Source organism: Homo sapiens, chromosome 22 (genome assembly GCF_000001405.40).
Source record: "Homo sapiens chromosome 22, GRCh38.p14 Primary Assembly".
Classification (NCBI taxonomy): Eukaryota; Metazoa; Chordata; class Mammalia; order Primates; family Hominidae; genus Homo; species Homo sapiens.
The window spans coordinates 43,556,543-43,571,987 of NC_000022.11; the positions used below are offsets into that span (position 1 = coordinate 43,556,543).

The following is a 15,445-nucleotide window of genomic DNA, read 5'->3' on the forward strand; positions in this document are numbered from 1 at the left end:
CACCGGAGTATCACTTCTAACCCCTCAACTCCTATTAAAACTTGGTCATGTTTTATTTTAAGCAGCTCGACAGCAATGTATATATTAGATGTTACTGTGTTTTATGACAGAGAAGTCTACATAATGTATAAAGTCTTTCTTACTTTCTGAAACTGTGCCAAATACAGGATGCTGCTGGGAATGTCCTCAGAAATCTAAAGCTACACACATACACTAAAGCCAAAGCCCACCACATCCTCCACCATGCAAAGGCTAACGGAGCTTCTATACATCTTCATTTGGAGCCATTTGTGAAGTAAATGAATGTCTTTTTTATTTTAGAAAATAAAAGTGATATTGCTGATGCATTTTGAATATCTTTAGGATTCAAACAGTTGCAAATGCACTTCTCAGACCCAAATACACGAGCATGTCCCTAAGGGATGTTGGCATCAACAGAGTAGAGGAGCCTCTCCTGGACATAGAGCCATACCTCTCAGTCCATCCTTACGGTTTCAGAACTTCAGGGCCTGAGGAGGACAGGGCCTCACGTAAACATTACTGGAAAGAACACAGGTGGATGGAGCCCAGCATGGGAAGATGGGAGTCCTGGGTCTGAGTCTAGACTCTGCCCCTACCCGGCTGTGTGCCCCTCCAGTAAGTTGCTTACCCACTTTTTGCCTTGGTTTCCTCATCTACCCAGGAGGAATAAGGGCTCCCCTGAGATGATGTATATGAATGTTCTCTGAAAGTATTAAAGCATGAAACTAACTGGAAATACTATGAGTCTAACAACAGATATGGAAGAATTCTAACAAAGTATTATGTGCAACCTTAGGTTAATATGCTCTAAACTTCAGACGAAATTGAACAGTTTTCTAGCAAAATTCAATTTAATTGAATTAGCAAATAAAGATTCAATTTAAATTGAATTAGAAAAGAAAGTATTTAAAGTATTAGAAAGGCCTGAATAGACAGGTAACCACAAAAGAAATGAAAAAGGCTGTTAAAAGATCTACCATCTATCATTAAAAAGGTGTTAAGCCCAGATGATTTTAAAGGCAAGCTGTATGGAACCCTTAAGGGATAGATAATTTTTACATTAGTCAAAATATTCCAGAACACAGAAAGAGTCATATTCCAATTATTGTATATTACACAAATACCAAAATATGATAAAGAAAACATGTCAAAAGAAAAAATAAAAGTCAGTCTAGTTATGGCCATTAGTGCAAAAATTCTAAAATAAAATATTAGAAATATTTAGCACCATATTTAAAAATAACACACCAAGATCAACTACGGTTTATTTCATGGATAAGAATGCAAGAATTGGCAAATCTTTCAATTCCTTACTTTAGTGAAGGCCACATGTCAACAGATAGCAGAGGCATTTGACAAAATTCAGCAGCTATTCCTGATAAAATGGTATAAAATAGAAATAGAATGGGATGGATGAACTATATATAAATAAAACATTGTAAACATGAGTATTAATCAAAAATTATCTGTAAAGATTATATTAAATGGATGAACTACTAAAGCATTAAAATCAGGAACAAAATAAGCATGATTTCACTTCTTCTATTCACATTTTTAGAAGTTCCAGCTTTTGAAATAAGACAAGAAAATAAAATCAACATGTAAATGTTGAAAACTGGTATCATTATTTGTGGATATGACTGTATAGGTAGAAAATCTCAATGGCATTTAGGAAAGTGGCTGGATTCAAGCTAAAAGTACAAAAAAGCAATGCCATTCTTTTATGGTCACTGTAAGTAGTTCAGGATTGAGATGTGACAAAAATTCACAGTCGCATTAATGACAAAGCAATTGAATACCTCTGGATAAATGCCATATGAAAGGTACATATGACACAGGCATACCTCATTTTTTTTTTTGCGCTTTGCTTTATTGTGCTTTGCAGATATTGTGTTTTTTATAAACTGAAGGATTGTGGCAACCCTGTGTCAAGCAAGTCTATCAGCACCATTTTTCCAAAGTATGTGCTCATATCATGTCTCCATGTCACAGAGAAATCGTTCATGAAAGAGACAGTCAATTGATGTGGCAAACTTCAATGTCTTATTTTAAGGAATTGGCAGTGCCACCCCAGCCTTCAGCAACCATCGACATTGAGGTGGGACCCTCTACTAGCAAAAAGATTACAAGAAGATTACTTGCTGAAGGCTCAGAAGATCACCACCATATTTTAGTAATAAAGTATTTTTATTAAGCTATGTAATTTTTTTAGACATAATGCTATCGCACACTTAATAGACTACAGTATAGTGTAAACATAACTTTTATATGCATCAGTAAATCAAAAAATTCATTGACTCATTTTATTGCGATATTTGCTTTGCTACGGTCTGGAACCAAACCTGCAAAGTCTCTGAGACATGCCTGTATGAAGAAATGCCACATACATGGGCAAAGACTCCATGACTAAAACACCAAAAGCAATTGCAACAAAAGCCAAAATTGATGAATGGGATCTAATCAAAGTAAAGAGCTTCTGCATAGCAAAATAAACTATCATCAGAGTGAACAGGCAACCTACAGAATGGAAGAAAATTTTTGCAATCTACCCATCGGACAAAGGCCTAATATCCAGAATCTACAAGGAACTTAAATAAATTTACAAGAAAAAAACAACCCCATCAAAAAGTGGGCAAAGGATATGAACAGACACTTCTCAAAAGAAGACATTTATGTGGCCAATAAACATATGAAAAAAAGCTCATCATCACTGGTCATTAGAGAAATGCAAACCAAAACCACAATAAGATACCCTCTTACGCCAGTTAGAATGGTGATTATTAAGAAGTCAGGAAACAACAGATGCTGGTGAGGCTGTGGAGAAATAGGAATGCTTTTACACTGATGGTGGGAGTATAAATTAGTTCAACCACTGTGGAAGACAGTGTGGTGATTCCTCAAAGATCTAGAACCAGAAATATCATTTGACCCAGCAATCCCATTACTGGGTATATACCCAAAGGATTATAAATGATTCTACTATAAAGACACATACACATGTATGTTTATTGTGGCACTATTTACAATAGCAAAGACTTGGAACCAACCCAAATGCCCATCAATGATAGACTGGATAAAGAAAATGTGGCACATACACACCACGGAATACTATGCAGCCATAAAAAATAATGAGTTCATGTCCTTTGCAGGGATATGGATAAAGCTGGAAGCTATAATTCTCAGCAGACTAACATAGGAACAGAAAAGGAGACACCACATGTTCTCACTCATAAGTGGGAGTTGAACAATGAGGACACATGAACACAGGGAGGGGAACATCACACACTGGGGCCTATTGTTGGGTGGGGGGCAAGGGGAGGGAAAGCATTAGGACAAATACCTAATGCATGTGGGGCTTAAAACCTAGATGGCAGGTTGATAAGTGTAGGAAACCACCATGGCACATGTATACCTATGTAACAAACCTGCATGTTCTGTACATGTATCCCAGAACTGAAAGTAAAATTTAAAAAATGCCTGTATAAACAATGTGTATAAATAATATACATATTATATTACAGTTACTGAAGCAAGACTGGAATAAATAGACATATTATGTTCCTGGATATAAAGACTCACTTTCAAAAGAGAAATCCTTTCTCAAGTTATAAATAAGCTTAATAAAATTCTAATAAAAATCTCAATGGATATTTGGGAGAATCATTAGACATATTGATATCAACATTGATATTAAAAAATAACATGTGAGAATTACCATGAAATTTTTGGAAAAGGATAGGAATGAAGTTTTTGACTCACCAGATATTAAAGTTGCCATGAATTTGATATAATCAGAGTAATATAGCTAGGTTCAGAAATACACAAATATATCAATGTACAACTACTCTGGCAGTGAGTGGGAACTAAGTCTCTACTGTGCTGAGCCCTTACATCATAAGACCTGTTTGTTATAGCATTATAAAAGTGTTAGAGAACAGTGTGGTCAACGTAAAGGTAACCTTGGGTAGGGGCAGCCATGCTCTCAGGAGGGAACACCATGCCACAGATGCAACTGGCTGGGACATGGCCCTGGTTGGGGTGGCCACTGCAGGCCTCCTTGAGGAGGAAATGGCTGAGGTGGGTGCCACGGGAAGTGCAGGTGGAAAGAGATTAAAAACCCAGCGTGGGAGGTAACATTATCCTCCTCAACAAGCATGGACGTGAAGGTCCGGGAGGCCGAGAAATGCCTGAAGTCACAGAACCAACAGAGTGGCGCCCGGATTCTACCCAGGCTCCTGGCCTGCAAACACATGCTTTCCTAGACGTGCAGAGAGCTGCAGCCACGGTCCAGGTCATGGTGATAGGTCCCCGCCCTCACTTGGGGAGGCAGGGGACGGACACAGGTGTTGCCACGGAGAAGCAGAAGCAGCCCAACTGCGTGGCGGCGTGGGGAAGGTGCTGGGCACCTATCAGCCTCCATTGCATGGAGGTGGCTGGCCGCCCGTGCAAATACTCTTTTCCTGCTTGCAAAAGGAAGTATTGCGTGTTCACTATAGAAAACTTAGAAACTACAGGCTGGGTGCAGTGGCTCACACCTGTAATCTCAGCACTTTGGGAGGCCAAGGTGGGTGGATCACAAGGTCAGGAGTTCGAGACCAGCCTGGCCAATACAGCGAAAGTTCGTCTTTACCAAAAATACAAAAATTAGCCAGGCGTGGTGGCGGGAGCCTGTAGTCCCAGCTACTCAGGGGGCTGAGGCAGAAGAATTGCTTGAACCCAGGAGGCAGAGGTTGCAGTGAGCCGAGATCGTGCTACTGCACTCCAGCCTGGGCAACAGAGCGAGACTCTGTCTCAAAAAAAAAAAAAGAAAGAAAGAAAGAAAGAAAACTTAGAAACTACAAAAAGGCACAAAGGAAAAATGATCACTGAAAACCCCGCCCCCCTCAGCCACCACTGTCATTGCCTCAGAGCAGAAGGGAGGAACCACCGACCTGGGGTCCCCAGGCCCCATGGATGCTGCCGCCCAGAGAACCACACCGCCCCGCCCCCACACACCCAGTTGCTGGTGGGAGAGCGCCTGGGTTTTCCATCAAGGGCATTTTGGCTGAGAATCTGTTAGGCACCGTATTCTGGTTCCCATTTCACTTTTTAGCAAAGCTGCTCAGCCGCCGCCAGCCTCGCTCGAGTGACTGGAGACGCCAGAGAGGAACAGATGGCTCTTGGTCTGGCGCTTCTGTGTCCCTGGCACTTCTCACGTGATCATTATATCTGAATGGGGGAAAAAATAATGCTTTTTCTATAACTAGAAGAAATGTTTCTCCTAATCAAAAAAGACACCACTATCTTCAGATGCAAATGACACGTTCCAATATTAACTGCGCTTTACATCAAAGGCCCCCTCAGGACAGAAATCACAGCTGCAACAGGAAGAGCAGGGCTGCAGGAAAGGCGGGGGCTCGGCTGGGCCCGGTCCGTGCTGGGCCCGAACACCTCACACTCCCCAGCTTATCTGGCAAAGATAAGCTCCTGGCTGCTTCTGGTGACTTTTAAAGTTCAACAAGCAAACAAACAAACAAAATGGAGTGCAGTCATATGCACTCTAGGTCTGACCTCAACAGAGAACCATTTACGTGTTTTCAAGGGGTTTTATTTCAAGTATTCAAAGATATTCATGGGACCTTGTTTGAGCAAACAATTGCCCTTCTAGATGTGGCAAAGACAGCCCACCACTACCAGAAGGAAAATTCTTGGCCCCTTTGTGACTACACCGTAATATTGGCAAAATACATGAAAGAAATAATGTCCCAATACATGAAGTATACAGTCATCAAAGAGGCTACTCACACCCCACTTTGATGGGGTGCTTCTCAGCTTCAAATGTATCCATGTATCTTGCTAGTAAAAAGCAAGTCACAGCTTCAGAATCTAAACCCCTGGTTCTAAAATCCTGCCATGACATAGGAATCACCCAACAGGCTGCCCCAACGCCACAAGTTCTGGGTTGGGGGTGGGAGGGAGGCAGCCCGGTCAGGGGTGGGAGGGAGGCAGCCCAGTCAGAGGTGGGAGGGAGGCAGCCCGGTGGGGGGTTGGAGGGAGGCAGCCCAGGTCAGGGGTGGGAGGGAGGCAGCCTGGTGCGGGGTGGGAGGGAGGCAGCCCGGTGGGGGATGGGAGGGAGGCAGCCCAGGTCAGGGGTGGGAGGGAGGCAGCCTGGTGCGGGGTGGGAGGGAGGCAGCCCGGTGGGGGGTTGGAGGGAGGCAGCCCAGGTCAGGGGTGGGAGGGAGGCAGCCTGGTGCGGGGTGGGAGGGAGGCAGCCCGGTGGGGGATGGGAGGGAGGCAGCCCGGTGGGGGATGGGAGGGAGGCAGCCCAGGTCACAGGTGGGAGGGCAGTAGCCCAGTGGGGCATGGCCTGCTGTCTCTATTATTGTCCTTGGCTCTGCTCAGGGTCTCTCCGGGTAGGCACAGCACGGCCGCCTGCTGCTATCTGGGACGAGCCCTTCAGGGAGGCACAGTGCTGGGATTCCCAGCCCAGGTCCTGGCCTGCGGCACCAGGGCCAGACCTGCCCTTGTTCAGCGCCTCACAGGGTGCGCTCCTGAGCAGCAGGCAGCACCAGTAACCAAGCGCCGCCTGCCAGGGCAGAAGGAACGCGGCCAGGGCCAGCCTAGGCTGGAAGAGGCGGGCTTGGGCCTGAAGAGTGGGGACAGCCCATCATAAACCCAGGGCTCAGGCTGCCCCTATCTTGTTACCTTGGGTAAGATGCACCCCTAAATTGGCCTCCCTGTCCTCACTGGGGTAAAGTGAAAATAAAAACAGCCACCTCTTTGGAAAGTTCAAGAGGGGAGGACTGCTTGAGCTCAGGAGCTTGAGACCAGCCTGGGCAACATGACAAAACCCCATCTCTACAAAAAATACAAAAATTAGCTGGGCAAGGCATGCACCTGTGGTCTTAGCTACTTGGGAGGCTGAGGTGGGAGGATCACTTGAGCTTGGGAGGCTGATGCCATGGCGAGGCCTGATCTTGCCACTGCACTCCAGCCTTGACGACAGAGCAAGACCCTGTCTCAAAACAAAAACAAAACCAAAAACAAACCAGCCACCTCAACGGCAGGCCTGGGATTTCACCAACACAACCCTCAAGGCATGTGGCCCAGAGCCTGCCGCGCTGCTGCTGCTGCTGGTGATTACAGATATTTCTGCAGGAGTTGGGAACTCAGACAGACGTGGGTTGAGTTCCTGGCTAACACCAGGCTATCATGAATGATCCGAGGATGGTGCATCCTGGTGCCCATTACTGCCTGCAGCTCAAACCACCCAGCCAAGGAGCTGGAGGCACTTCTAAGGCAGAAGCCAGGTCTGAGACTTGGTCATAGGAGCCCAGGCACACAGTGGCCATGCCACAGAACTGCGTCTCTTGACCGGCTGCGGTGAGCTCTGGGCAGCAGGGCTGTGGGGGTCCAATCACAGGCTCCAATTGAGGTGAGGGCCCAATGCCACCATCCTCTAGCTGCAAATCACTAAGGCAATCACTTCACCTCTCTGGGCTTCCGTCCTCCATCTGAGAAATGGGGATAACCACACCAGTTAGAACTACCCTGCCAGAGTCATTCCGGGAAAAGACAGGCATCTTCCAGGACATCCCCCATGCACTTTAGGAAGGAGCTGTTGGCCAGGCACGGTAGCTCACACCTGTAATCCCAGCACTTTGGGAGGCTAAGACGGGTGGATCACTTGAGGTCAGGAGTTCGAGACCAGCCTGGCCAACATGGCGAAACCCCATCTCTACAAAAAATACAAAAATCAGCAGGGTGTGCTGGCCCACACCTGTAATCTCAGCTACTTGGCAAGCTGAGACATGAGAATCGCTTCAACCTGGGAGGTGGAGGTTGCAGTGAGCCAAGACTGTGCCACTGCACTCCAGCCTGGGTGACAGAGCAAAACTATGTCTCAGAAAAAAAAAGAAAAAAAAAAAAAGAAGGTGCTGTCCTCCCTGGCGTCTGAGATAAAGGCAAATTAACTTTTGTCCTGCAAGGAACTCACCTGTGTGGCGGGGAAAGCTCTAAGGGAGAAGCTGCCTTACTCAACCCAAGCCAGGGGCGGGAGCAAGCCCTGAGGTGAGAGTTAAGCCCAGTGCAAGAACTGGCTAGAGAGGGGAGGGCAGGCTCCCTAAGGGTCAAGAGAACCTGAAATTGTTGTTAGTTCACGTTCGGTTTTATTGTCCTCCTGTTTCAGCAGCTCTATGAGGTGGCCCCAGTAAAGAGCCCTCTAATATCCTGTCAGTATGTCCAGCCTTGTTCTTGGCTGGCTTTAAAATCAGTTTTCCACCAAATTGTATCCTGAACGACTTCTATGGATGATCGGGAAGACAGAACTTCATAGAAGGGGGTGGTAGACTTGTCAACTAAAGCCGCAGAGCTGGAGAGGCAGCAGTGCACGTGCGTTTGCTTTCTTGGGGTCTGTCACCTCTATGGCCCCCCTGCTTCTGTTCACCCTGTCTGTGTGCATGCCCTTTGCCAGGGGGGGCTTTGTGGCAGCTCCCACTACAGAAGCTGAGAGTATTTCCCCGCCCCTTGGCTTTGGATTCCGCCATATGTCATGCTTTGGCCAGTGGAATGTGGGTAATTACAATGTGATGGAAGGATGAAGGAGCATTTGCGTAATTGGGCAAGCCCTCTTGCACCTACACCATTGCCTTAGAAGACAGGCTCTGGCCATCACACAGGACCAAGGAGGAGAATGACAGAGATGAAGAGCAGAGTCATCCTAGCGAAGATGGCAGAGCTTAGCCCAGCCTAGATCAGCCCCCACAGCTGTGAAAACTGAATGAATGGATGTTATTGTTTCGTGGCCCTGAGGGTTTATGGTTGCTTGTTACATAGTGATAGCTGACTGCTACAGTTCTGGGTTTCTATTGAGTAAGAAGTAAAAAGGGATGAGCTTAGAATACAGACAGGACAAGTAAGCTGTTGAGCACAGATGGCTTTTTAGGCATCAGTGTTCCACGAAATGGACATATTGCAAAGGGGCTTTGTGGCCCTTGGTGAGTATCCAAGATGGCGGTCACCCACCCTAGAACAACAGGTTGTGACAAAGTGGTTAGCAAGGTCCATCTAGCTGCTAGACTAGAAATATATCTGCATATTAATGTAATTATGAAGTTTATAATTAGCTCATCTGACTGTATGATTCATATACTAAGTTTTGTTCTGAATACTTACAGAGACAATTATATGGTTTTTTTCTATGATTCCTTACAGGAGAAAAAAAAAAAGTCCTGAAACTTCACACAGAATAAGAACTCAGCAGGTAGCAAAAACTCCTAATTAGAAACACTGAGTAAAGAATTCCTCACTTCCTTTTAAAGAATGGTGTAATTACTTCTAAGAATTGAAAAATTACTTCATTTTATCAAATATTTTGATTAGCAAAGAAATTAATTGTACTGTATCTTCATTTGTATTTACAGTGAATAAATGAATGCTAAAAATAACAACAGCAGGAAAACTGCCTGTCAAAAAAAAAAAAAAGATAAAACATTAAAAAATCCAGATGAAAATAAAGTGGAAGCTCTGAGGAAGCTGCCTGCTACAGACCTCGCTGCCGGATCAAGAAACGGACGCTGGCCTCCGAAGGGCTCAGCACATGCCTGAGGGGAGCCTCTGGTGCATCAGGAGGTCAGGCCCAGGTTATTGCCTGATGGGAGTAGATACTCCAGCACGCTGTTTGCACAAGTGAGGCAGTTTCACCAGATTTCCAGGCGCAGTTCCAGGCTTTCTGGTGGCATAACTGCTGCCCAGGCGTGGGATCTCTTACCACACAAGGATTCCTTCTGGGCAATGAACAACAGCTAATCCGAAGATTCCAGAACTTCCTTTGCAAAGGCCATCAGTCAAGTCAAGCTTCAAGTGAATTCAACCAGTGCTTACTGAAAACTGACCCCAGAGTACCAGTGGCCTTCCTTCCTGCGTCTCCTTTACCCAGGCACTGAGCTGGGGAACAGGGAATCTTCTCTGGTCCTCACATCACCCTGAGAGGCAGCCGTGGCTCTCCCTGCTGTATAGACAAAGTAAGTGGGGCTCAGTTCCAAGCTCCTGCCAGCAGGTGCTGGAGATGGAGATTGTCTGACTCCAAAGCCATGCTCCTCCGATTTCACCCAAGTCCAACCACCTACCACATGTGCAAGAACACAGAAGCCTCCTGAAAATCCCAACTCAGCAACACTGACCAGGGCTCATGATGTGCCAGGCACACTCCCATGCAGGAGTGACAGAGCAGTGAGCCAAAACCCCTACCCCTGGAAAAGCTCATGTTTTGAGACGCCCACCCAGGGAGGCAAGCAAGGGTGGAGTGGACCACCTTACTAGCTCGGCCCCTCGGCTCTCCAGACAGAACCCTTTGCCATGGGCCTCCCCCACTGCCCTGCCCTGGCCATGCCCAAAGTGTGGTGCCCTCCCAACCCCTGGGCTCTGGAAGCACTAACTCTCCTCCCAGGAAGCCCCGTCTCCTGGTATCCACCTGGGCTGGCTCCTCAACTCAAGCTTCCAGACTCAGTGCAAGCTCATCAGAAAGCCATTTCTGCCCATCCTTCCCCCACTCAGAGTTAGGTCATCCTCCTCCTCATCATCCTCCTCGTCCTCCTCATCATCCTCCTCGTCCTCCCCCTCCTCCTCCCAGCTCTCTATGCCCTCCTCAGCCATACAGCTTGACGTTCACAAAGGATCTATGCTGAGACCTTTGCAAACACCGATTCACAAATCCTCCAGTAGCATGGAATTGCCATACAATGCAAAGAAATAAAAGGGAAACATTTATGCCACCCTTCCACCCTTTAATGATTCAATAAATTCATGGGTGAAGTCATTTATAAAAACTATTAAAATAAATTCTTCCACCCAAATAAATTCTATGCCACTTAATCACATCATTACTGAACATTAAACATGCACTCACCGAAATAGGATAGAATACAAAAATAATAAGGAATGCAAATGTTTGGTGTTTGCTGTGTCAGGTACCAGGCAAAGCTCTTTCTACATTCACTTGCTTAATCCGAACAATGAGCCTAGGAGGCACACACCAAACAGTTCTCATTGCTCAGGAAGGGAGCGGGGAGCATGGACCTTGGAACTGGCTGGCATTCGAATCCTAGCACTAGCATTTCTAATGGTGTGACTGGGAAAGAATGTTTCTACCTCTCTGTTTCCCCCTCTGGTACCCCAGAGTACCAGTGGCCTTCCTTCCTGCGTCTCCTTTACCCAGGCACTGAGCTGGGCAACAGGGAATCTTCTCTGGTCCTCACATCACCATGCGAGGCAGCCACAGCTCTCCCTGCTGTACAGACAAAGTAAGTAGGGCTCAGTTCCAAGCTCCTGCCAGCCGGTGCTGGAAATGGAGACTGTTTGACTCCGAAGCCATGCTCCTCCGATTTCACCGAAGTCCAACCACCTACCACATGTGCAAGAACACAGAAGCCTCCTGAAAATCCCAACTCAGCAACACTGACCAGGGCCCATGATGTGCCAGGCACACTCACAGGCAGGAGCAACAGAGCAGTGAGCCAAAACCCCCACTCCTGAAGAAGCTCATGTTTTGAGACGCCCACCCAGTTTCCTCCTCTGCAAATGAGGCTCATTGTCCCCACCACAAGCCTGAACCCCAGGGCCTGGCCCAGAGCCAGGCACACATTCTCATTCTCACTTGCTGAGTGTTGAGTGTTGAGATTCGTCCAGTCCAGTGCAGCATCCTGAGCCAGAACATAAGCAGCCACACTATAAGTTACCTTCCTGGGTGTGTGATGACAGTTAAGATGCTGGTAACATCTGTATTTTGGATTTTCTCTGCAAGACTTATTTGGGACAATACGTTCTTGGATTGGTACCTGGCTTCTTGATAGGATCATGACCTCATAGAATCACTGGTGCGACTCAACTCTGATGCTTAATTGATCCACAAATGGTTGTCGTGGCTCTGGAGGGACCAAATGAATGGGGAGCCTGCCTGGGCTGGTTGCACCGTTGTCCATTTAGTTTGAATATATAGAGGGCTTCCCGTGGAGGCTAGGAATCAAGAAGAATCCTGATCCGGGTTCAGGGGAATGAGGCGGGAGTGCTCTGAGGATGCCGGAGTGGTGATTAACACAAGGCAGGTGCTGGAGGAGGTGAGCAGTGTCCCCCGCACCATGCATTTCCATGGGGCCTGGCTGAGGTCCTGCCATGGGGTGTGCTGCATAGGGCTGGGGCACAAGGGAGAATGAGACCTCATCCCTGCCCTTGGGGACATGGGACTCCCAGGTTTGAGAAAATTCAACCACACAAATTAAAACGATTACGAGAAATTCTGTCTGATGTGCTTCTTCCAACTTCACCAACAGGTTCATGATAGCCTTGTCTTCTGCCTGACACAGCTGTGTTTGAAAGGGGGCTTCTCCAGTGGGGAAGGGGGCCCATGTGACCACCCTTCACAGGGCCCAGGTGGGGAAAGCCTGGTGTGGCCCCCTCACATTCCTGCAAGAGGCATCAGAAACTGTGCCTCCCTCCCTTTGGCGGCCGGCCCTGTGCTACTTCCGGCAGAGCTTGCCTGGCACATGCCGAGTGCCTACCCTGTCCATGCTACTGGGAACCGGGGTTGGAGGGGGACTCATACTCCTTTCTAAAGGGAGGCTTCAGAGCCAGGCCGGACCCAGGACACATGCATGGAAGGAGCTGCAGTGTCGCCACAGCCAATCGGGACTTGGGAGAAAGTTTGAACAACAAAAGAATAACTCTGTAGCACGCTAAGTGAGAGTGAATCTCAGCAGCCTGTGCAACCTCCTTGCCAACTTTCCATGATGATGTGACTTTCATTCTGTTGCTTTTATCACTACAGCTGGCTTTAAGGAGGTGATCCATATTAGTGCAGATACTGGGGCAGTGCTAGGACCCGTGTAGTCACAGATGCTCTACAGGAAGCAGACACCACCCATGCCAAGGTGCCTGGGCTTCCCCCAGGAGGGCAGCAAGCTTACCAAGCTCAAAGCCTGAGGAGGAGAAGTGGATGCATGGAGTCTGCCTGGTTCCCACTGAACCACCACGTGATGATGCCTGTAGGCCCTGCTGGGTGGCCTGCGATAATACTCCTTCTGCCTTAGCGTGGCACAGGGGGCCTAGCAGCCCCTGCACCCTGGCCTGTCTCCAAGGCCCCCCTGAGAGTCCAAGTCAGCCTGAGTTACCCCTCAAGACTTGCCACAGTGCCACCCACCTACAGGATGGCAGGTAGTGAATTTTGCATTGGCAAGTAGAGAGTGAGTGAAATTCAAGGGAAATAGTTAAAATCGCTGAAATTACATCAAGAAGACTTAGCTTTTCTTGCCATCAAGAGCAAGGGTAAATAACAGTAATGCTAATATCTTAATAATTTACTTAATTTATTTACAATTATCTTAGAGCCCTTTCCTGAAAAGGAAACTTCCCCATTCTTTACCATATTCATTGAAAATACGTAGACACCATTATATTTACAATAAAAAGAAAGATAAATTGAAGTAACACTGTTGGCAGCGAATATAAATATGATGTTCATAAAAGATTACAAACATTTTGATGTACTTTACCATCCCTTTGGTTGAAAACTACATTCTTCACTTCTCTCTTGGAACAAAAAACATCTTCAAGTTATTTAACATATAACTGAATGACTTTAGAGATTGTATATTTCCACGCAAAGTGAGGAAAGATCTCATTGGCTCTCTGCTTGCTAGAATGTGACAAAATAATTACTCTGTATTGAATAAGGATGTGTTTTGTTAAAAAATTCCATTATTTCCATGGTAATAAAGTAGAAAGATTTTATATGGGTTTCTACTATGTCTTTTAAAAATTCTATTTCTGCACTGAGTGTTATTTTTATACTCACTGAAGAAACTGAAATTGCACTTTAAGATTTAAGGGAAATGTTAAACAGGAACGATTTTCTAAAAACAAGGTGATACTCTACACTTTGCACATGGCACTTTGAATGTAAAATGTTTTTCTAGAAGTGAAGAACGGGTATTTGCTGGGGAGAGAAATCCAGATGATGTTTTCCCAGTTTGTGGGAATCTCATGAGAAGGTGTGTGTGCTGCCGTTTAGGTGTTCTCTTTTTTTTTTTTTTCCTGTTCGGCTTCTTCACCAAGCCACTGGGTAGCATTTTTGCTTCGATGCCTTGTTCCTCTTTTATGCCTTCTAGGCCAGTGCTTCTCATCTTGAAAGGGGATGTGATGGCTTCCAGGCACATGGGACCAACTCCTTGCTCCGGTCTGAAAAGACACACGTCGCCTTCCCTTCCCGGAAGCTCGCAGGCCTCTGTGCCTCCTGGGCTGGTTCTCAAGCCCAGGACAGTGCCAAGAGGATGAGCCCCAGGCCTTCTGCACAGCAAGACCCCTGGACTCCCCCACCATGGAGCCCTGGGGCGGGCTGGTCTGCAGAGCAGCGGCCTGGGACCTGCACTTTAAGAAGCGCTGTCTGATTTGAGTGGTGCTTAACAAAGCAGTATGAGGAAGGAGCAATGACAGGGGAGGACTCATGGTCAAGCCACACAGCAGGGGCAGGAAGCCCGCGGCCCTTGCTGTGAGAAGAGCTCAGATCATTTTCACGTGCTGCTGTGACAGGCAGAGGAGGCTTAAGAATAATAGGAGTTTTGGAAGACAGATTTGATGGCATACCCAATATAAGAAATGGATTATGAGTAGGTGTAAAATTGTCATCTTTACTCTCTGTGTGCTTTCAGTTTACTCAAGGTCTTAGGCAATGTCTTAACTACAATTCCAGTTTTTCTCTCTCTGAGAATGGATTGCTTTGGCTGGGGATTACTCACGGTGAACTTGCTTTGCGGGGAGAGTTGCCGACTGTCTTAATTACATTTTGGTAATCTCCTTTTAATTACTTACCTCCTGTGCATCCCCCAGAGGGAAAGGATGGGTGGTATCATATTTAATGAGCTTAAGGATGATGCATTAACTATTCCTATTATTCATTACTTCTTTTCTCTTCTATTAGAAAAACACAACAACTTGGGGTTAAACTGGAGAAGTTAATGATGAATGCAGTCTGGGGTTCTTCCCCGGCTGCCTTCCCCTGCAGCCGCCCTGGAGGAGGCTGGCTGGCTCGCTCGCTCAGGAGTCCTCAGCGATTCTTCTTTATTCAGACAAAGGGACCTAAACTCTGCAGCCAATGTTGCAGGACCCAAGTGGTCTGTCTCTGCCACCACCTCCTGCTCCCGATGGCAAATAAACAGGACAAAAGGAAACTCTCACCTACTCTGTCATTTACTACGACCAGAACTGCTTGCGGTCACCCCTTGCTCCACGGTCACCCCCCTCCTCCTGCCATGTCATGTTCCTTGCAGTTTCATGCTGCCCTTCCAGCCCAGAAATCATTTGCTCAAGGATTTACTCGTCCTCCTGGTAAATGCATGCTTTTCCGATTTGTCTGAGCTCAGGTGTTAGCTTCTCGGCCAGGTGCATCCTCCTAGGC

At 46.7% G+C, this 15,445-nt stretch overlaps 1 protein-coding gene and 1 long non-coding RNA gene across 20 annotated transcripts in view, besides 1 other annotated feature; one reads left to right on the forward strand and one right to left on the reverse strand.

Annotated features, from left to right (window-relative positions):
- Positions 1–15,445, reverse strand: part of EFCAB6 (EF-hand calcium binding domain 6) — a 283,528-nt gene that overhangs the window by 27,765 nt on the left and 240,318 nt on the right. The gene's annotated exons all lie outside the window — the stretch shown is intronic.
- LOC101927474 (uncharacterized) lies at positions 13,855–15,057 on the forward strand. The gene is made up of 3 exons (XR_007068123.1): positions 13,855–13,915; positions 14,700–14,836; positions 14,969–15,057. It is a non-coding gene; the product is annotated as an uncharacterized LOC101927474 (long non-coding RNA).
- Positions 14,347–14,847: an enhancer, noted in NCBI's record as "H3K4me1 hESC enhancer chr22:43966769-43967269 (GRCh37/hg19 assembly coordinates)". NCBI's record gives its function as "activates a minimal SCP1, AML or CMV promoter by ChIP-STARR-seq in naive H9 embryonic stem cells {active_cell/tissue: H9 hESC(naive)}" and the evidence as "EXISTENCE:reporter gene assay evidence [ECO:0000049][PMID:30033119]".